General features: G+C 40.7%; 1 protein-coding gene and 1 pseudogene across 3 annotated transcripts in view, besides 1 other annotated feature; one reads left to right on the forward strand and one right to left on the reverse strand.

Moving 5' to 3' along the window:
- The window catches only part of FOXO1 (forkhead box O1), a 110,975-nt gene that overhangs the window by 48,975 nt on the left and 37,927 nt on the right, over window positions 1-24,073 (reverse strand). Inside the window, exon 1 of one of the 3 annotated variants that reach the window (XM_011535008.3) lies at window positions 9,509-19,675. The exons of the other annotated variants lie outside the window; for them this stretch is intronic. Within the exon in view, the coding sequence (XP_011533310.1) occupies window positions 9,509-9,595 (87 nt within the window). The 5' untranslated portion in view covers window positions 9,596-19,675. Of the gene's footprint in view, window positions 1-9,508; window positions 19,676-24,073 lie in introns of those variants that run through there. 3 annotated transcript variants of the gene reach the window in all.
- Window positions 8,655-8,704: an enhancer, noted in NCBI's record as "active region_7611". NCBI's record gives its function as "activates an Ori minimal core promoter by ATAC-STARR-seq in GM12878 lymphoblastoid cells {active_cell/tissue: GM12878}" and the evidence as "EXISTENCE:reporter gene assay evidence [ECO:0000049][PMID:35858748]".
- On the forward strand, window positions 13,985-16,906 carry RLIMP1 (ring finger protein, LIM domain interacting pseudogene 1; annotated as a pseudogene).

The raw sequence follows: 24,073 nt of genomic DNA on the forward strand, positions 1-24,073 counted from the left end.
TGGAAGCTTTCTTCTTTAAACATGCCATGACAACAGGAGTCTAAACCAGACAACTCTATATTTTTTTACCTATTTGTAAATATTACTGTCATCCCTAAAAAGTCTTATGTATAAGAATCACACACTAGATTAAGATGTTATTTTTTTCTAGACAGAGGCCAAAAGTGTATTCATTTAACATTATAGACAGTAAAACAGCTATATGTTAACATCCTTTCTAAAATTCAATTGGTTCCTATTAGACACAAACCCTTTCCTCTAGTTCCCAGCCTCAGGAATGCAGATTTTGCTATGAATAATAATTTGTTAAACGCTATAGAAACCTGGAATCTTTGTTTCCAGAATTTAAAAACTGGTACATATTTGATTTACTGATTTACTAAAAATAAAATAAAATTAGTGATGTTCTTTATCATTTACTTTTAAAAACCTGAATATATCATATATATGTATATGTTGATATATATAAAATACATATAAATATATATTTTTAGTCAATGGTCATCCAATCCTCATTTTTAGTCACCAAAACCACACACTGCGTGGGCAACTCTATAATAAAACACAGTTACTAACAAATGTTTATAGAAGTAAATAAATAGAAAAATAAAATTCTTAAAATTCACTGCTCGACCATATCATTTTTTTTCCTGATCAAGGAAAATTCCAGGATATTTTGAGAGAATTCCAGAGTACCTGGAGATGCTCTGTTACAACACTAAGCACCCCAGCGCTCACAGTTGGTGCTTAAAACTTTAACCTAACAGTATTACCGTCAGCATTACACACACACATTTCCTACTCGATAGCTCCCTACTCTCAAAAAGAAATGATGGGGACATGGCTCCCAATTCTCCAGCCTTAACTCCAATCACACGAATCCAACCACACTGTACTTCTCAATTCCTCCCCTTTGTCCAGGCTGCTCCTCCCCCTGAATCTCCTCTCAATCTGGCCCAAAAATACAGCCTCAGCCTGTTGAAATTCTACCTAAACTACAGTGCTCATCATAGGCGTGCACTCTGTTTTTTCCTGGTTCCAACCCAATGGTGACCTTTTCTAGCCCCTAAACCCCCAAGGTACTCCCTTTTCCACCTCTCTAGTCAGTTGCCAGCAGTACGTATGAATCAGTAGCTACGTAAGCCCTGAACCTGCTTGGAGGTGTGGAAAACTAGTGTGTGAAAGAAGGCCACAAATTATACCAGTAATGCTGCTGACACTAACCACTAAGAGATACCTCTTATCAGCTGACAAGTATTGAAAAGTAGTAGGTATGAGCCTAATAATCTAGAAAACGTACATCGACCAAGTAATAATGCAAATATCAACTAATCTGGGATGACAAAAAAAAAATTATAACAATAATGTAGTGGAATTTACTGAAAGGCTTGTTCTACTTAACCAAAATACTGTAGAATAACAATTTTTCCAAATGTTATCTAGCAAGATAAAGCAAATGTAAAAATTGAAGCTCAAAATAACCTCCACCACTTTAGTGACCAAGGTGGTTTTAAACCTATCAAGTTGACAGTTTTCCAAACTGAGTTTCTATCACTCTTCAACACAGACTACACCATATCTCTCTCATCACCCAGAGCTATATAGCCTAAAACGGACTACTTCAGGGACCAGCAACATGGTTGGTTGGTTTCTTTCTTTCTTTTTCTTTCTTTCTTCTTTTCTTTAGAGATGGAGTCTCACTCTGTCACCCAGGCTGGAGTGCAGTGGCGCAATCTTAGCTCACTGCAACCTCTGCCTCCTAGATTCAAGTGATTCTCCTGTCTCAGCCTCCTGAGTAGCTGGGATTACAGGCACGTGCCACCACCACACCTGGCTAATTTTTGTATTTTTAGTAGAGATGGGGTTTCACCATGTTGGCCAGGCTGGCCTCAAACTCCTGACCTCAAGTGATCCGCCCGCCTCGGCCTCCCAAAATGCCAGGATTCCAGGTGTAAGCCACCGCGCCCGGCCATGAAAAGGGGGTTTTAAGTGACAGCACAGCATGTTATTTTCTATGGTGGGGCTGGGGGAGAGGCAGGGTGCCAAAAGCGACTGAGGAGGGCTGTAAGAGTGATTGTCCATACTAGACACTACTTGCCAGATGTCAGCCCATCTCATGCCCCTCTGCTGTCCCTCCATCCTCCCCAAGTCATAGTGCAGCCTGCAGGTCCCTGCAACTCCCACATCCAACTTCCTCATTGCCATTCCTATCTCATCACATCCCTGACCCTGCTTTAAATTCCTCAGTAACTTCCTTTTTCTATCAGGTAAAGACCAAAGTCATATCATGCAATGCTCTCAGATCTAACCCTGTCTGCCTCTGAAGCTTTGTCTCACTTTGCCTTTCCCTTCAGACTTTGTAGTTAGGCCCCCAAAAAATATTGTGCCACTTCACCCTTCCCAGAAAGCTCTCTATAAGCCCGCACATCTGCCCAACTTCTCCCCACTCCTCAATCAAGACCAGACCCAGGTTTCTTCCAAGTGAGATCTCCCTATGTCTCCCACGTGGCTCTTCTATGCCTTGGTTGGGCCTCTGGTACAGAAGGCACAGTGCAATTCTGTTTACACATCTGTCTTCCAGACAAAAACCGGAGGGCGTTGCAACCATGCTTCCTCGTGCTACACCCGGAGCGCCTAGCAAAATGCTGGGGACACAGCATCAAATGTCTATGTCAATCTTGCTTGGATGAACACTCCCAATCCTCTGAAGCAGAAAGCTGTCCATCCTAGGCAATAAATATAAGCACCAGAAAAACATCATTCTTCTTGGATACACTTTCAGGCTAGGGAATTGTTCCCCTACTAATTTCCCACTTGGGGTTTCTTCCTTCAACCATTTGTTCCTAGAGTGCTTTACTATAAGTCAGGCACTGTACTAGATGGGTGGGAGGGAGGGAGGGAAATAAAGTTATCAGGGAGCTTAAAGCCTATAGGGGAGATTCTATAACCCCAAACACAGCATTCGACAGTCATTACTCCACACTATTTAGTATTGTACACATAGGTAATACATCTCTATACACTCAATGTTTTTACTTAACCCCATTTGCCTACTAAAGTCATTCTGTTGCCTTGAGCCTACACCAACACAAAGGTGAGAATGGAGGTGCCAATAAATGAAACCTGTTATCTACAGATAAGAAATCAAACCTCAATTCTAGTGGTAGAAAGAACTAAGGAGACGGGCTAGCCCAGTATCTTCATTTTACAGAACAAGGGGCCCATGACAGAAACAGGTTACATGAATTGCCTGGGGTTCCCCCAATTGGTACACTGCTGAAACAGATTTTGAACCCAGATCTCTTAAGTCTTACCTCAATTCACGTACCCTCTTTCTTGTCCCTTACCCAGCTGTTAGTAACATGTCTCTCATGGTGTGTTACATTCGGTCCAACATCCATATGAAAAACTGAACTAGTGTTTCTTGGGGCAGAGGAAATGACAAAAGCCAAAGGCAATAAGACACCACCATATAATCTCATAACCAAAAGCTACCCTCAGCTGCTAACATTTTTAGCATTTGTGGTAGGACAGAATTATTGGTCCCAATTCTTCACTCCCTGGTAATTGTATTTCTATGGCCTCTTGTCGGTAAAGTACACTTTTCTCCTTCTTGATTCAAGAGATGCTATGGCTAATGGGATGCTAGGGAATCTGATGCTGGCAGAGACTTGAAACATACTCATACAGTCAGGCTTGCCCTCTTGCACATGACACTACCATGAGAAGAACTTACCCTAGTCGCTCACCTTCCAGCCAAGGCCTCAAAGTGAGACACATGGAGTAGGCTGCTGCAGGGAATCTCATACATGTGAGCAAGAAATAAATACATACAGTTGCATGCCACTGAGACTTTTGGGGTTATTTGTTATGGAGCAAAAGCTAACTGATACAATGTGTTATCCTTCAAGTCAAAAATGCATATTTCTCCTTGTCTGTCACTAATGTAACCCCTCAGAGTATTAGCTTGTTGTTAAAGTAGCAATCACCTTATTCTTTTTCTATTTTACATTTTATTGATTTCTCCAGGCTATCTTTTTTTCAGATTCTCTTCAGAAAAGAACATTGTCTACAAATTGAAGTGTCATCTCCAAGGCTTTTCCTGATTCTTAAGGTAGGTATTATATAAGAGGGTGGCAACAAATGTTATCCTTTCAGTGTCACGTCACAAAATGCCTCCTTTTTCCTTCAAAGCAGTAAAGTAAGATTTGTCATGATCATGGTTAATTTATTAAAGATAATTTTCAGCTCATATGATGGATCCTAGAGATAGGTGGGAAGGGGGTACGTGTATCTTCACTGCAGGTACTAAAGATTTTTAAAAGCTGTTTTAAAACCTTCAGCTGAAATAAATGTTAAAATACAATGACTTTTGGTATTTTTAATGGGCCTCCAAATCAGGGTAACTTTAAACAATGACATTCAATGTAAATGTCCTTCAATTGTGCCATTTTCCCATTCCAGCACACAGCTCAATGTCATTAAAACTACTCAAATTTAATTAATTATCGTTATCATTTGTAATTTTTGAAGCTCAGTAGACCTGAAATAAAATTACGTTTGGATGACAAAACATATTATGCAATAAAGTCATCTGGAGGGTAGAATACCAAACTGGGAGCCTACTGCTTCTTTTTTCTTCTGCTTGCCATGACAAGGTTAATTTGTTTGCTTTCTTTATTCTTCCTTCTGTTTTACAAAGGAGAGGCATACACTTACTTTGGAAAGGATGTAATTTTTTATATCAGTCTACACTGTATTAATATGCCTAGAATGTGTATAGAATTATGCATGAGTATTTGTAAATGTAAGTCTGTTTACTCAAAACCATAGAAAATACAGGTTTCAGTGCATCCTTCTTTTGATGTCAAAGGAGTATGTGATTTTCTCAGGAAAATGAAGGCTAATTTCTTCAATTCTGGACTGTAGATAATTAGGATTGACTATAAAAACAAGAGTTAAACATGTCTTCCTATTTTTGAACCAAGGCCAGTAGAATAGCACTGTCTTCAAGGAAAACTTTATTTGCATATATTCAAACTCACGCCTAAAGAAATTCTTCAGGGTGGGGGGGAAAAAAATTCCTCAAGGCCCAGGATTTTAACCTGGAGCCCATGGACAGAACTCAAGGGATTCATGACCTTGGATAGGAAAAAACACATTTTTATGAGCCGCTCATTAAAATTCAGCATTTTTTCCAATTACGAATGTAGGCAACACATCACAGTATTGGCAGTACCTGTGACTTTGACACCAATAGAAATCGGATGCCTTCACATTACAGTTGCTGTCAAAAACTCAAAATATTGTTTATTCATCTCCACCTCAAAATTATGGTGACCCGCCACTAAATATTATTTAATGTATTGATAAAGAAGCACATCTATTACCCTACGACAATTTTCACAACTGTATTCGACGTAACTGCTTTCCTTTGCAATCACATGTAATTTAATATTATGTACCCTGCGACACTGAGGACACGCTGCATCCACCTGCCACACCCTCACTCCTCAGCTGCCCGTTTTTATTAACTAAGGACATCCGGGGTGCTTTTTGTGGAAGCATGAGCATACTGTACTGAGGGAAGGGAGAGGAGATAACAACCTATTTATATATGTCTATAACAGTGAAATTTTAAAAAATGGTAATTATGATGAGGCATCTGTCTATTTGGCACCATCTAAAACCAGCAAGCAATAATTGTACAACAAGGGGGTGTTTAGTGTGTGAGGTTTAGGACATTGTGCCAGAAAACCTAAAGCATCCAAGTTGTAAAACATTGTAATAAGCAGGTAATCCTAGGCCCAGCGTCCAAGTTTCTGCCCTAACCTGTTCCTTATGATTATGATTTTAAAACATCCCAGTGTCAGCAGGTTCACTGTGAGTCAGACCTGAAATAATAAATGGCTTATTTTCCATCCTGATGGAGGAAATACATCATGGCTCATTGTGGCTCACTTAACTGAGGCTGTTTTTACAGGAAAATATAAAAATAACTAAGTCATTCTGCCTTACCATTTTTATTTTAAATTTTTTTATTAACAAAGCTCTATACTACAATCCATTTTAAAAAGAAAAAGCATGTTTCAATATAGGCTATAAAAACAATAGCTCACAAATATCTAGAAGGAAAAATAATATAAACTCAGAAAATTATGCTTGTAACCAACGAATACCCTGCTTTGCCAGGATAACCAATTAAATGCATTCACTACATCAAGATAAACTGCTGCTTATTTAAATGGTCAACCACATGGTAATGCTGTTAAAAGACAGCCAAAATCTTCTACCAGTATTCATTAAGGTTGCCAGGCCTTAAAAACCACATGTATCTATACACATACATCTACATAAATTCCAGAATGCAAAGTCTTACTTGTTGCAAACTCTCAACTGAACGTGAGGAGAAAAGTTGTATCTTCATCAAAAATAAATGCTTATTCAGTGGCATCAATACTGCACATAGGCTGTAAAACTCATCGTGACTGAGGATAAAATGAGTGAGCAATATATTCTCAGAACAATGAGTTTTGTTCTACCCTGTTACATAAACAAGTTCTATGTGACCTCACGGCTTTTAGATATGATTTATGACACCATGTCAGAATGCAATCTTATTTGTTACCCAAAACTGTGCTAGAGTGCTACCCCTATGGTGGGTTCAGACATTATTTAAAACAAACAAACAAATAAACAAACTTAAGACAGCACCACTGTAACCAATACAAGGTTACTAGGTACACACAGTGTGTATTTCAGGATATGACCAATAAATTTAGAATCATATATAAGGTCCTCAGTGTGTAATACAAATTTGAAGATAAAAATATTCATCGCTTCTGCTGATTTCGTACATTAAAACAGTTACGCCATAATTCTATCCCATCTCCTTGAAACAGTGATGCAGAGGGGAACCCTGCTAGAGGGGTTCACGTGGACTTAAATGCCCATTCCCTCCTCACCTGACTCTTCTTGTGCCCCTAAACATGGATGGCATGATAGGGAAAGAACACATCTAAAACACACGGAAGCTGTGTTTGGGAGAGAGGACGGTGCTCAGCACTCTCTCACGAGCCCTGTTATTTCCCTCCTCCCATCACAGCTACAGTACTGTCAACAGTAAAATGTAAAAACCCTAAAACCTAGGCTGGGCACAGTGGCTCACGCCTGTAAATCCCAGCACAGTGGGAGGCCAAGTTGAGTGGATCACTTGAGCCCAGGAGTTCAAAACTACCCTGGGCAACATGGCAAAACCCCGTCTCTACTGAAAATACAAAAAATGAGCCATGTGTGGTGGTGCATGCCTTTAGTCTCAGCCACTGAGGAGGCTGAGGTGGGAGGTTTGTTTGAGCCCAGGAGGCGGGGGTTGAGCCAAGATCACGCCACTGCACTCCAGCGTGGGAGACACAGTGAGACCCTGTCTCAATAAATAAATAAACAAACAAATAAAAATAAAAATAAAAACTCTACTAGAGGGCTAGGTTTTGCCCTGCCTTTTTACAGGCCTACTGAAAACAAGGTCAGTAGACTGAAAGGGCCAGCAGAAAACACAATGACTCAAGGGTTACAGTTATCCATCTTCCATTTATCAGCTGTCATGCCATAGAGACCTTGGATCTCCCCAACAAAATCCAGGCTTCCCCACCTCTCCTACAGGGTTCTAGAAAGCTCAAATGGACAGAGCACAGCAGGCAGACAGTATATCACAGACACAGCTACGAAGATAAAGTGCCATGTATGATGGCAAAAATGTTACAGGGTCTCCATGAAATTATCAGGATGACACCTCAGGTTTTTAACCTAAGAAAACAGAAGAGACTTGTGTGTGTGTTACACATATGTACGTATACACACACGTGCGTTCGCAAGCATGCCTAAGGAGATTTCTTTCAAAAAGAAGGCTGGCCCAACAATTTCAGTGGCCAAGAAATTTTATCATCCCAGGCACAACATTTCTTGTTTGCTTGATGTCAATTCCATGTACAGTAGTCCTTCCCTGAGCTTTCACTTTCCACCTTTTTGAGTTACCTGCAGTACAACACAGTAAGATATTTTGAGAGAGAGAGAAACCACATTCATCTATCTTTTATTACATTATACTGTTATTATTGGTCTGTTTTATTATTAGTTATTGTTGTTAATCTCTTACTCTGCCTAATGTATAACTATCATAGGTATGTAGGTATAGGGAAAAACGTAGTATACACAGGGTCTGATACTATCCAGTTTCAGGCACTCACTGTGGGTCCTGGAACTATCTCCCTCCTATAAAGGAGGACTACTGTGTATCGGTTTATCTACAATTTTAATGGCAACGTTTTAAAAGAGGAATGACCCACAAACTCCACTTTCCCTGCCCTCGTATTCCTTTCACCAGCAAGACAGAGGTGAAGAATTAAACTTTAATCAGCCACAATTTGAAGAAGGCTGTAAGATGATCTCCAGTATTTGAACCTTGAAATCTGGGTAAAAAAGAACACCTCATGCCTGTAAACCCCATCTCTCCATCAGGATTATCACTTGGTCAATAAGAGATAGCAAAGTCAAAAGTGTCCTCTTTTTGGAGGTGGTGTGTGTGTTGGAGGGCAGGGTCTCTGTAAGAACAGCTATAAGTAAAAGAGATATGGTGAAAGGTCACTAGTCTGTCATCTCTCTCTTCCTGAGGCACATAAGGATGTGACATAGTTACATGTGGTTTGCAAGAGGGCTCCTCCCTTTACAATCTGCTTCTCCGACACCCCTAATCTAATCAATTTTTATTTTCAGTTTGGTGTTTAAAAAAAAAAAAGTTACCACACAGAAAGGACTTTAAGTCTGAAATGTTAATCACATCAAAGTCTGGAACTTCAAAGTTGCAGTTCCCACACCAAGAGCAGCTCCGGTCCCCATCTGCAGTTTGAGTGTTAATCTAGATGGTAGTTTCTCTGATTTAAGACCTTGTTTTATGTGTACAGGGAGTGTGGCCAAGTCACAGGCACTACGAATTTGAATTTCCTGACTCTCACTTGGTTTAGTGGATGATTACGGCGTCAGCATGTGCATTTGAAACAGGTCCCCAAAGAGGAAGCACATTCAGGTCACTTGAACAAACACAAGCGTGAGCCACACCAGAGCCCTCCAGCTGACTGCCTAGCAGCAGTTACACGGTCTCCCATCAGGACCCTGTGACCAGAACTACCAGGCAGCTTTCATGGAACTGAAGTTGGATCCTCACGGCTGGTACCATTAAATGGCTTGTTTTTCTAAGAACCTGTGAAGAGCTTTAACAGACAGAAGAAAGTAAATCAGACCTCTCCTTAAAAAGAAAAAATAAAGGGTGAAAAAACTAGCACTCAACCCGGTATTTTAACTACTGGCAGTTGCCTTTCTTCTACCATGCAACACAGTGGTTTCCAAAGGTATTTTCCAGAAGTTCTGGTTCCTGATTTCAGTGGCTACTCTATTTCAGGAATAAGGACAAAACTCAATACAGAGACAAATGTTGGAAAAGTCCCAGGGAACTAACCTGGCACCAGCAGTTCTGTGCAAGTCCACCCGGCCAGGCCAGGATGCATCTAAAAGCCAAACAGTTTGCTGTGTGCTTGCTTCTCATCGTCTTCGTCTCCTCTAGCAGCTGGAAATTTTAAAGCTAGATATGTTTAACCACCAGGAAACATGCTGACCATGAGCTCAGTCCTCTTCAGAAAGTCAAGAGCACTGCAGGGAATAGGACCTCTTTTCAAAGTGTGATTCTGCAACACAATGGCACCATATTTAATTCATCTGAACATTCTACTTAGCAAGAGGGACCTACAGGACTCAAGGTCACTGGAGTTGCAAGCAGCCTGAAAACATGGTCAATGACGTTTCATTTTGTAAAGAGGAAAACTAAGGAACTGAGGGGACAGCAAATCTTCACGTAGAAGATTTTGTTACTGAGAACAACGCCAGCAACTTTCTCACAGTGCACAGTGGAAGATCTCTTGGCCCTGCAGAGAAGAAAGCACAAGGATAGTGATGCTCCCCTTATCTGGTGGCCAGCCTTCCAACCCCTCGGCCTCTGAAACACTTAGACTATTTAAACAAATGTGAACCAGAAAGTCAGGGCTAAAAGAAAACAATGAAAGCCAAGTGCTAATCCACAGAACTACAGAGCACAGAGATCCTCTCAAATCCTCATCCAGGGCCCGCTGGATTTAAACTGTGTATAAAATAAGGCCAGTTACTTAACACACTTTGTTATAAAGTTTCTCCTGAAAGGCTCATCCCTTCCTATCTTGAAAACCATGCTGAAGTAGCTAGGAGGCAAATCAATGTACACAGTAAGAGGAAGTCTTTGCCAAGCTCCAGAAGACATGGCATAGGTGGGTATGCAAAAAACCCGAAGTTCCCAATGATCACTCCCATCACTCCAGTAAGGCAGAAAAGCACACAGTGAATGCAGAGGTAGATAAAATGCACATTCATGCAGCAAACAACCGCTGAGCACCTACCACCGTGTGGGTTCAAGATAATGAACAAAACAGAGGATGCTTGTCCTTGTGGAGCCTCTGCTCTATGGTGGGGGAGATGGACAAGAATACACACTGGGGGTAGGTGGCAACAAGTGCTATGAGAAATAAAGCAGAGGGGGCCAGACGCAGTGGCTCACGCCTGTAACCCTAGCACTCTGGGAGGCCGAGGCAGGCGGATCACCTGAGGTCAGGAGTTGGAGACCAGACTGGCCAACATGGTGAAACCCCATCTCTACTAAAAATACAATTTAACCGGGCATGGGGGTGCGCGCCTATAATCCCAGCTACTTGGGAAGCTGAGGCAGAACTGCTTGAACCCAGGAGGTGGAGGTTGCAGTGAGCCAAGATCGCACCACTGCACTCTGGGTGACAGAGTGAGACTCCATCTCAAATACATACATACATACATACATACATACATACATACATACATACATACAGCAGAAGGGATGGTGCATGGCATATACCGGGCATGTGAGGAGGCTGTGATTATCAACAATGAGGTCAAGGAAGACTGCTTTGAAAAGGTGACATCTGAGTGAGCGAGGTGAGGTGAAGGAAGTAGCCAGACAGACATCTGGGGAAGAGTGTTCCAAAGAGAGGCAAGGGATGGTGCCAAAGCCCCGAGGCAGAAGGATGCATGGCGTGAAAGGAGGCCAAGTGACCAGAGAGACATGAAAGAGAGGAAAATGACGTCAGGAGGGCTCGGCTGTAATAAAGAGCCTTGCAGTCTGCTGCGAGAACCTCAGCTTTCATGCTGAGGGAGGTAGGCAGCCAGGGCAAGTTTGGAGCAGAGGATCCGTCTGGCCTTGCTGAGTACAGGCTGCAAGAGAAGAAAGGACAGAAGTAAGAAAAGCAGTTAGGAGACAGAGCAACCAACCTGCAGAGAAACTACAGGGGCTTGAACCAGACACGGAAGTGGAAGGGGTAAGAAGTAAAGGAACCTGGATATATTTTGAAGATAAAGATGACAGCACTGCTGATAAACCGGATGTGGGATAGGAAGGGAAAGGAAAAACGCCTTCTTCCTAAATCTGAAAGAGCTTTAGTTACTTGGAATATTTACTCAAAATGAAAAACAAGTATCTTTAGCTGAGACAAGAATATCTGGGAATGATAGTAAGGAGGATTTCTTTTTAAATGAAAAAAAAAATTAAAACGCAAAAAAAGAACACTGCACACCCTGGCACACAACAAAAAATTAAGTCAGAGAGCGCTGCAAAGGGACTAATGTTTAAAGATGTATGAAGGACAGAGAAAAAATTTGAAAGACAAGAACTAAAACAGGTACTCTGAAAAGTTCTGTAAAGGAAATGAGTCTGAAGGATGAGACGATGCTCATCTAATGAACAAGACAGGAAAAAGGATTTCAGAAGAAGAGGGACCATGGAGGGCCAAACGCATGTGGAGAAGAATGAGAAGCCCATTGGTAAACTCACAGGTAGCAGCAGCGGGAGTGGCCTGAAAAGGCCATCATGAGGGATTTTATTTATTGCTGGAGGTATCGGAAGCTACTATAGGGCAGAATAAGACTGAAATACAAGAGGGAGACGAAGTTGTGTTTCTCTGCTTAGGACAGAGTTGATCTGTGAGGCTGCATGCAAGGGGTGTGGAGGGAAGAAGGCAGAATAAAATTAAGACCTGAAGTAGACCAAGGAATGAAAAGAAAAACTGACACTACATGGCAGTCTAGATCCGGAGCCAGAGCAAAAGGGACAGATGGAGAAAGGAGCAAGGAACCAGGAAACAACGTTCTATTGCAACTCACTTCCAGTGAGCTTCTCGGGGCTCCTTTTTCAATGGAAAGCCCTCATGCTTTAGAATCTTTATGCTAACATGTGAATACATACAAAACCTGCCCACACCCGCCCTACTGGATCCAAGTCACTCGAAATAGAAATAACTGAACAGATATGTTTAAATACGATACCAAAGTATTAATTTCTGCATGAATTTCTAATGGGATAACAGAAGAGAAATGACAGTTTAGGGAACAATCTATCCTTGACCAATAACAAAGGTGAAAGGCCAGGCACAGTGGCTCACGCCTGTAATCCCAGCACTTTGGGAGGCCAAGGCGGACAGATCACCTGAGGTCAGGAGTTCGAGACCAGCCTGACCAACATGGAGAAGACTCGCCTCTACTAAAAATACAAAATTAGCCGGACGTGGTGGCACATGCCTGTAATCCCAGCTACCTGGGAGGCTGAGGCAGGAGAATCACTTGAACCCAGGAGGCGGAGGTTGTGGTCACGCCACTGCACTCCAGCCTGGGCAACAAGAGCAAAACTCCGTCTCAAAAAAAAAAAAAAGAAAGGTGAAAGGTTACTAAGAATGTTTACTACTAAAAGAGAGAAGGGTGGGAAATCATATCAGAACCCACATTCTTGTGACCAGGTAATACGTCCCCAGCATCTAGGAGCCAGAAAAGGAACTCAGTCTCATCTAATAGAGACACAGAGCCACAGTACACACGCCTTAATAGGTCAGCACTCCTCTCCTAACTATATTTGGGTGAAGGAACAGGTGGACAGAAGGAATACCAAACATGTTGGGGGGAAAAAAAATGACCTGAAAATAGGAAAAAAGATGTAAGTAACAATGTTGAACAATAAATAAGAAGGCAAAAACTAACATGATATTTCCTTTTTAATTTCAGAGATTCCTAACCAATGAAAGCATTAAGTGTTCTGTACATTGTTTGTAATACAACAAATGAGATGTATCACACTGGAAATTCTCTGAAGACAAGGAAGGAAAAGCTCCAGAGTGCAAGCCTCAGGTGATCAGAAACAAGAAATGGAGAAGTCCAGATCCCACACATACCTCAGGCCTGATGCATTCACCGGCAAAACAGAAATCAACATGTGACACGCTTGCCAAAATCACATCATCTGCCGTTCTAGATATTTCTTCCAGCGTACTGCAAGACCTGAAAACTTTTTATTTTTTTTTGGTGAGACACGGTCCCAGCTCTGTCACCCAGGCTGGAGTGCAGTGGCGCAATCTCAGCTCACTGCAACCCCGCCTCCCAGGCTCAAGTGATCCTCCCACCTCAGCATCCAGAGTAGCTGGGACAACAGGCATACGCCACACACCCTGCTAATTTTTGTAGAGAAGGGGTTTCACCATGTTGCCCAGGATGGTTTCAAACTCCTGGACTCAAGAGATCCACCCATCTCACCCTACACTCCCCTCCAAGAGCTGGGATTATAGGCATGAGCCATGACACCTGGCCCTGAAAACTTTAAATATACATGTAGAATACCACCAATTCATACTAAAATACCCACTCATCTTTCTTCTTCCAAGCTCCCAAGAGCTGTTCCACAGAACGGGATTGTATTCTGGTGGATGATTTGGCTAAGCCGAGTGATGAGGGCAGAGAGGACAATAATTGTTATTTTACTGAACAGCAGAGTTATGAAACCAAGAACAGTACAGTAGTTAAAACTAAGAACCCTGAAGACCAACAGGCCTGGATTTGAGTTGGGAAGAGATGGACAGCTCTCCAAAAAGGCACAAACAATTGAAGGATGGATACCATGGCATATGTTAAAAGCATATTGAAAGGAAAATAAGAAAGCCAGGAATCTCAGGATGAATCAGTCTAGATCTAGATCAGATGGTGGTGGTGACGAAACCTTATCTCAAGACCGTAATCATTTGTGAAAATGGGAGAAGATGGCAGCAAGAGCATCTCCACAGAGAAGAGGCCTGAGAACTCGATGAAGATTATCGGCTTATGAGAGGACCATAATCTTTTAGGCTCCCCTAGAGAAATAACATCAGAAGAACTGCAACAGTGGTTAGATGGGGTCAACAAACAACTAGCATCTCAGCCTGACTCGAGAAATGGAACAAACTGGCCGGACACCGTGACTCATGCCTGTAATCCCAGCACTTTGGGAGGCTGAGTGGGTGGATCACGAGGTCTGGAGTTCAAGACCAGCCTGGCCAACATGGTGAAACCCCATCTCTACTAAACAGATATAAAAAATTAGCCGGGTGTGGTGGCACATGCCTGTAATACCTAATCCCAGCTACTCAGGAGGCTGAGGCAGGAGAATCGCTTGAATCTGGGAGGCGGAGTTTGCAGTGAGCCGAGATCATGCCATTGCACTCCAGCCTAGGCAGCAAGAGTGAAACTCCATCTCAAAAAAATAAAATGAAATAAAGAAATGGAACAAATTACAGAGACTCAGAAGTCCCCAGAGAAAGTTCAAATGAATATTCTCTTCTAGCATAGTTGAACACCTTTCGGGGCACAGGAAATGCAACTCAAAGTGGACAAAATGGGAATCAAAATTGGAGAGCTGTGAGTCGAACAAACTCGAACAGTGGAGAGTTTCGGTTTAGTTTGGAAATCCACATAAATCATGAAAATAGAGGATCTGAAATTCATGGAGATTATACAAACATTCCACTTTCAGATAGTAACAGAGATCATATTACAAATAGGCAACAAAGGTCATCTAGTCCTGTGGCTAGGCGAACAAGAAGCCAAACCTCAGTGAATTTCAATGGTGGTAGTTCCAACATTCTAAGGACTAGGCTTGCTTCAAGGGGGAAAAATTCAGCTGAAGGATCTTTCTCAACAGTAGGAAGATTAAAAAATGGAACTGGGGGATCAGCTGGCATTCCCAGAGCTAGTGCTTCACGCACTAATTTCAGTAGTCACACAAACCAGTCGGGTGGCAGCTAACTCAGGCAAAGGGAGGCACAACAGTTTAAAGCAGCACATGTTTGGGAAAATGGGGCTAGATATAATGTTACAGTGAGAAATACAAACCAAAGATTAGGGCCAATAAGATCTACTATAAGTAGCCGAAGCTGTTCACCAATTCAGAGACACAGTGGCACTGTTTGTCATAATTCACAAAGGGAAAGTAGACCAGTACAGCAAACCACTAGAAGATCTGTCAGGAGGAGAGGTATAACTCAAGTCTTTTTAGAGCAAGATAGAGAACACAGAGGTACTGCATATACCCCATTCTCTAATTCAAGACTTATGTCAAGAATAACAGTAGAAGAAGAATCCAGCAGATCCTCAACTGCTGTACTACGACATCCAACAATCACACTGGACCTTCAAGTGAGAAGGATCCATCCCGGAGAAAATAGAGATCAGGACAGTATTGCAAACAGAACTCATCCAGAGTAGGGCTAACAGAACATACAGTCACTATTCAAAGCAATAGTGGGGGCTTCTGCCGAATCATTTCTCGTTTAGAGCGGTCACGTATTCAAACCTATGTTAGTACCATAATTCTTCCTAGGATTTCTGAGAACGAGCTTGTTGAGCCATCATCAGTGGCTCTTCGGTCAATCTTAAGGCAGATTATGACTGGGTCTGGAGAATCTAGTACTCTAAGGGAGGGTTCAACCACTAGAGAGAAGCTCTGGTTCTCCAAGTCAGAGCTTCAGAGAAATGGTCAGCATTTACCAGAGATGCATTGAGAACTGAGTAACCTTAGGTACAGTTACTGACAGCAGCCAGCACAGGGAACGGGACAGGCAGGCCCAAGGAGACAGCACTGAAATGCATGGTGTAAATGAGACCACCCAGCCTCATACCTGAAACAGTGACAATAGGGGTAGCATGTAGTTGCAAAATTCAAATGATTTAGTCAAACTGGAAAACTACTATTCTTCCCCTTGCTTTTTTTTTTTTTTTTTGAGATGGAGTCTCACTCAGCCACCCAGGCTGGAGTGCAGTGGTGCGATCTTGGCTCACTGCAATCACCGTCTCCCGGGTTCAAGCTATTCTCCCATCTCAGCCTCCCGAGTAGCTGGGATTACAGGAACCCGCCATCATGCCTGGCTGATTTTTGTATTTTAGTAGACATGGGGTTTCACCATGTTGGCCAGGCTGGTCTTCAACTCCTGACCTCAGGTGATCCGCCTGCCTCGGCCTCCCAAAGTGCTAGGATTACAGGCAAGAGCCACCACGCCCGCCTGAATACATGATTTAACCAAAGAGCAGACTGACAATCTTTCCACCCAGCGCTAGAGCATAACAGTATTGATAGTGAACCAGGTAAAATCTGTAGTGTTTGTATCAGTGACCACATAACTGGAAACAAGCTCAGGCAATTACCTTGCAGGCATGAATTTCATATTCATTGTACTGACCGATGGCTCTCAGAGAATTTCACTTGTCCGATCTGTCAGCAGCCTGTTTTAGGGTCCAACATAGCAAACAATGGGTAAAAGTGATGGGATCTACTCAAATATTGTATTTTAGTAGAACTGAATGTTCAAGCATTGTTTTGCTGAGTTACTTGTGATGAGCTAACTAGGATGAAAAATAACAGATTATATATAGTTTGAACTATTTTTGCGTGCTTTTTAAAACTTGTTATAAAGAGGAAATTTATATAACATTTAAAATACAAACATTAAATTATCCAGAAACACAAAATAATTAACATTGCTAGAACCAAATAACCTCTAAAATGTTTTTATTTTGGTAATTTTCTCATGCTAAGCACTTTTGTATCTGCACAATTCAATAGGTTAAAAACCAATCTTCTTTTCCTTAATAGCACAGCAGACTTTACTTTCAAGTTTCATAGGCTTAGTATTTATGTCTAGACATTTCTATCTAAATAAGCTTTTCATTAACTTTTTACGAATAATACCTTTTCATGAGAGTATGTGGCTGAATGTGTGCTATACATGTTATTTGAAATGTTAAATTTAATATACAGCATATCATATATGTATAGTTATATAATTCTAAGGTTAAAATATTCAGTGTACAAGTTTGGTTCTTATTTAAGCTTTTGGGCTAATACTGCGTATGGCACAATGTTTAATACTGGCAAGATCATCTCAGAGAGAAAAGGGATTCGGATATAATTTTAATATAGAGATAATTTACTGAAACATCTCTGACAATCTGACTTATTAGAAAGCAAGCAATATATAATACTGAACAAGTATTTATTCAGTAATGGAAAATTTAGGACATACAGGTTATTTAACTTGTGTTCAGCCTTTCTGTAACTTTTTTGAAAGTGCAAACAATTCTTTGGATTATTAAATAAGGTATACAATATGCATGGTTTCTCAAATTTAGTGTTAAAATCTAAAAAAAGTCTATAAAGAATCGATTGCATAGATAATACTTTAAGTTCACTTGGAGGCTAAATATTTCCAATGAAAACAAAAACCTTTAAGAGAATGCAGTTTATATAAATACAAAGTATGCATTGATGATCTATTTCTACCAATAAACATTAAAACAAACAAACCAAAAAATCTCAGATTTCACAACTGTAGGAAGAGCTAGACTTACAGAGATGTTTATTTAACCACCACCACTACCTTCAGGTGAACTGGCTGCATCTCCACAACATTCTGAGACATCAACTTTGAAATGATAGCTCACTGAAGGAGTTTCTTTTCTAGCAAAAGGCAAATCTGTCTTTCCCAAGCCAAAGAAAATCCAAACAAAAATCACCAAGCCTCCTGCCTGCTTGACATAATTCCACCATTGCCTGAGCCTGTGCAAAATGGGGCCAATAATGACTTGCTTCAGGCTTGTCATGATGAGATAGTACACAGAAAACACACAGCTCTATGCCTGGCATAAAATGGTTTTTCAAAGTTAAACTATTTTTTATCATTATTCCTCAGATTCCAATCCCCTAAAAATTATTTTCCAAGTTTACTCCTATTTTGCTCATTCCCTAAGGATCACTATAAGTAAGCGTGGAAGAAGAAGAGTGTCCTGCTCTGTAAGTAAGAAACAACTCCAGACAAGAGATTCCTTAAGGTATTATCTGCTTCCAGGGTGTGATTCAAAGGTTTAAGCCCATGCCAATCATTTCATGACTGCAAGTCTGCTATGGCAACACACTTATACAGCCAAATTCTCAGCAGAATCAATTCCTTTTATCAAAGGTACTATTAAATCAAAACAAAACCACCTGATTTGCATTTATTCACCTTTCTCTAAGTTATCCAATGGGAATGTTTAAAAAAAAAAAAGGAATACAGTTAAAGGGGAAAGAAAAACAAAACTGGCTTCTAAAAAATAACACAGCCATTATATTGAGATGCATTTCGCTCCAGGCCATAAAACATTTATCCCTTGGTAAGGCTGCTCTATGAACACAGGCTTTTTTTTTCCAAAAGTGACACGGGGGTCCGTGTGGGGCATTAGTTATTACTGTTGCTGACTATTATGAAAATCAACTTTTTTCCTCTGCATTTACGTCTGTGTGTATCACACGACAACCCAGAAGACAGATCGGTAAACTTGCCAACAACAAGAAATAAAATAAGCAATAAAATCAACAACAGAATTAAATTACACTGACAAGTTAGAATGCTGGGTTTGAAAATCAACATAAAATTGGAAGTTCAACAGTTTTTTTTCTTTTTAATGGGGAAATGTGTTTGGAGGCAGGCACAGAAATGTTTGCTGACTGTGTCATATGAACCACTGTAAGTGACAAAAAGGTGTGGTAGTCTTAGGCTGCATTAACAAATGTACAATTTCCAGATCACAGGAAATTAAAGTCTCACTACACTCAAAACTGGCCACACTATATCTGGAGAACTAGATGAGTTCTTTATTAACACACTTTAAGAAGGACATTGATAAATCAGAGCGCATCCCATAATGAGAAAGGGGTCCAGTTCTGGGGACCATGGTCAAGAAGTTCCCCAGGCCAGGCATGGTGGCTCACGCCTGTAATCCCAACACTTTGGGAAGCTGAGGCAGGAGGAGTTTGAGACCAGCCTGGGCAACAAAGTGAGACACCATCTCTTAAAAAAAAAAAAAAAAATTTTTTTTTTTTTTAATTAGCCAGGCACGGTGGCGCACGCCTGTAGTCCCAGCTACTTGGGAAGCTGAGGTGGGAGGATGGCTTGAGCCCAGGAGTTTGAGGCTGTAATGAGCTGTGATCAAACCACTGCTCTTCAGCCTGGGTGACAGCATGAGATTGTCTCAATAAATAAAAATAAGAAATAAAAGACTCCTAATCTCTGGAGATAAACAAAGCCTAGACGACCCTCTGCAGAAGAAGCCAAAAGGAGATATGTGGCCTAATCCCAATTCTAAGATTTCATGCACCTGGGGACTATTATCATCTCATAGCCTGATAGTACCACCAACAGAAAACAGGCCAGGAATGTGATCAAAGCTCTTAAAAACTAATACTGCTTAAAAAAAAAAAAAAAAAAAAAAGATCACTCAGGACATTCCTAAGAGCAAAGAGAAATATGTTACTACAGGAGTTTCATGAAAACTTACCCAGAAATTGCAGCAATGCTTTGCTTTATAACATCTAAAAATTGTGCTTGCCTATCTCATCCAATCACTTATAACATGTGTTGTAAGTGATCAGTTCTGATTCATACCACATGATAAGAACAGCACTCTGACTAAAGGGGGTGGGGTGGGAACCCCAGGGCCAGAGCACTCATCTCATCATAAACTAAATGGTAGCTAGCCAGGCAACTTGGCGGGGGGAGGTGACAGATGACACTGCATAGGAATTTAATACTTTTTAAAGTTTATCAAGTCCACTCAAATTATTTTTTTGGAAATTTTGAGAGTATATGGAATCAACCACTCCCCCAACCTGGAATCATTTTTGGTAAGCATGTAATGGAACATGGAATTACAATTTTCAAGGAGAGTATTTCGAGTAATGAAAATAACTGTCTCACTGGGAATTATGCATATAGTTTTTTATGTATATAACACAGAATATTTCTGGAAATCCATCAGATAGAAAATTTAACAATATACATTGCAATATTAAAATCTGTTTTCTACAGCTCTTTGCCAACCAATCATAAAACATGGTTTTGGATGCTAGGTAAAAGTAACAAAAAGTCTAGTAATATAAAAAGTTTTGATTGGATAAATGTAAGTCAGTAGAAATGAAAGTACTTTTTATTGTGAGAGATTAAGTGGATTATTAGTGAAGACAAAAGTCCCTAACACTTTAATGCAATGGAATTACCACACTCAGTTGAGAAAAACACAAATTAACATATTATGTTAATCTGGATTCAACGTGGGGAAAAAAGAGGAAATAAAAGCATTATCTAACTACCACAAATGTGGCATGTTGATAATTTATTGTGACCTAGAATATGACATGCACAAATATACTAATGATTGAGTACTAAATTCATCATCCAAAAACTCTAACTCAAGGGTCTCTTTCTCCACCTAAAGAAAATAAAAATAAATATGGGTATCAACAATTTTATACTGCTTGTGGTCTCCAATGCTGATGGATTACTTTTCAGCATATCCAGCAAATTCTAAGTACTGCTCAGTTTAAGTGTCCACAATTTCCCACTGTTAACACTGAAGACAGCAAGAGCAGAAAATTCGTATGTGGCCCGGTAGAAAATTCTGCTATAAAACAGAGGTTTTTTTTACAATAATCCGTTATTAGCTTAGACTCAATTACAAAGAGAGTCTAGGCTGCTCTGCCTTTGGAGTAGTCATTCTTTATTCCTTTATTTTAATAAACTTGCTTTCACTTTAAAAAAAAAAAAAAAGTTTAATTTTCCACAGGGTGGGAATGTGATTATATGATCTTGTAATTTTACATAAGGCAATAAGCACTCTAAAATATTTTAGGTATAAGTCAGAGGAAAACATGGCATATGATAGGTAATGACTTTCCTCTTACCATGTGAAAGCAGGCCTTGGCACACACATTTTCAAAAGCAATCCAAGGCAGTATAGTTTATCAATCCTACTTTATAGATTCTTAAATTCAAACAAAAGAGTTTTAAATTATGAACCAGGTCCCTGACCAGGGACCAGGATAAAGTCATCTTTGTCTTCACTACATTTTATTTTATCTTATTTTATTTATTTTTTGAGTCAAGGTCTTGCTATGTTGCCCAGGCTGGTCATGAACTCCTGGATCAAGCCAACCTCCCACCTCAGCCTCCCAAAGTGCTGGGATTACAGGTGTGAACCACCATGCCCAGCCTTACTTTTTATTTAAAACCTAAGGCTATTTAAGAAAACATCTAATATATGACATATTCTATTTAAATAGAACAACAGAATAACAAATCCTAGCCAGCAGACATTCTGATAAGAGGATATATTTTTAACTAATTCCACTTCTCAAAACATTGTAAAAGCTTAAAAGGATTCAATATTCACAAGTCTCCTGACAAAGCAACCAAGTAAGGCACTGGTCTCAGGCAGTTGTGATGTTTTAAAATAAGTGATAAACAGTTTACAACACTGAAAGCCTAATGACCTCTAAAGCTGTCCTGCTGGTGAGACAGCTCATGCCCCACACTGAAATGTTCTCTAGTCAGACTTCATAAAAGAAAGTATAGATGCATTTTTGCATTCCAGAGGTTACTGCATGTTACTAAACATGCCTAAATTTTCTTTCCTATATAGAAGATTCAGAGGTAACTCCTTGCACTTGATAAACTGTTACACACCTACAGAAATGATAACTAGGCTACATAACAAAGTTGGTAAGTTCCACCAATACCTCCCCTTTCAAAACCCGTCCTTAAAGTGAACGTCTCCATATGCTCTCTCATTGGGGAAAGATGCCTAGTTTCACTTGCAAAGACACTGGCCCATGAACTTCCCTAAACTAGGTCCATCAGACACTGCCCCGATGATACCAGTCTCAATTCCTTAAAGCTAGAGAACAAACATTCCTCCATCTAAAGCTATGAACAAGTACCCAAGGGTGACTTTATTGGCAACTGCCCTACATGCACTGAATTTCAGTCTGGCCACTGGGTCCCAAACTCCTAAAATTTCACAACCTTTTTCTAAGTAGTTACCATCAGGGCTATCACAGTGTGCAGAAAGAAGAAATGTATGCATAACAATTCCTGGACATACAACAGCCCTTTCCCAGTTTTATCTTTAAACCTCCCTGCTCTTTATTTAATTTTCCAGAACACAAGCATTAGAACACTGCAATCACCTTTGCTTCTTTTCCAGGTCCATCCCTATCCAAGCAATTTTACCAACAATTCCCCCAACCACGGCTTCCACCAACCTAAGCCTGTGGGAATCAGAGCACAAAGTCCACTGCCTCCAACTTCCTCCCCACCACCTGTATCCACCTCACTCACAACTGTTCATTTTTCCCAAACCCAGATAGATCACATTCACACACCTGCTAAAACCTCAAAACCCTTGGACACTTTAAAAATAGTTGGTCTGGCTTCTTCCAAGGTGTCAATGGCATGAAAGACTGAGAAATGCTGAGGAAATGTTCAAAGCAAAGGTAACTCAAGAAAGGTAATGCTCAAATGCACTGTATAACCCTGTACTGGATTCTGTATGAGGAGAAAAATGTCCTTGCTACTAAGGAGATTATTAGGAGACTGACAAAACTGGAACATGAAATAAAAAATACTGTATTAACAATAACTTTCCTGGCCAAGCGTGGTGGCTCATGCCTGTAATCCCAGCACTTTGGGAAGCCAAGGTGGGCAGGTCATCTGAGGTCGGGAGTTCGAGACCAGCCTGGCCAGCATGGTGAAACCCCATCTCTACTAAAAACACCAAAATTAGCCAGGCATGGTGGCAGGCGTCTGTAATCCCAGCTACTCGGGAAGCTGAGACAGGAGAATCGCTTGAACCCGGGAGGCAGAGGTTGCAGTGAGCCAAGATCGCGCCATTGCACTCCAGCCTGGGCAACAGAGTGATACTCCGGCTAAAAAAAAAAAAAAACAAACAAACAACAGTAACTTTCCTGAATGTGAATGCTGTACTACAGATCCATAATAGACTATTCTTGTTCTCTGGAAATACACATTGAAGCATTAAGGAATACAGCAGCATCACTCATAAAAGCTACCCTTGACTGGGTTGGCAGGGGAACCGTGTGTGTGTGCACAAATCTATGTACCTACAAATACAGACATATACACATGTATACATATATACATACATAAAGGATGCAAGCAAATTATCAAAATGTCAAAAACTGGTGAATCTGGGTAACGGGTACATAAAAGTTTTTTTTTATTCTTCAAACTTACCACTTGAAAAAATTTCAAAATAAAAAATTTTTTTTAAAAAGCCCTTCTTGGGGGCAGGAGTAAACTTTTCAGGGTGATGAATAATGTTCGTTCTCGAGCGTGGTGATGTTTCACAAGCATACCCATGTCAAAACTTACCAAACTGTACATTCTAAATATGTGCAGATTATACATCAGCTATTCCTCAAAAGAGCTGTTTACACACACACACACACACACACACACACACACACCCCGTGAGGGTTTCAGTCTTCCCGGGCACTCTCGCAACTTGTCTGGACAAACCTTGTCACTGTACAACCCCCTCATCCCTTTCTGCACTTTTCACCCTTCCCCTCCCCAGTCCCAAAGAACTCACCATGCTACCTGAGTCCGTCCTCTTCAGCTTTTTTGTTCACGCTACTACCACTTCCTAGAAAATGTATAGTGGAATCGACTCATACGATCTAGACCCAAATCTCAGTTGCACCAAGCCACACTCTCAAAGCCAAGTTTCCTCATCTGTGAAATGGGGACATGGCCAACCTACTGACAGAAGCAGATGAGACCTGGTGGGA

Source organism: Homo sapiens, chromosome 13 (assembly GCF_000001405.40).
Source record: "Homo sapiens chromosome 13, GRCh38.p14 Primary Assembly".
Taxonomy (NCBI): Eukaryota; Metazoa; Chordata; class Mammalia; order Primates; family Hominidae; genus Homo; species Homo sapiens.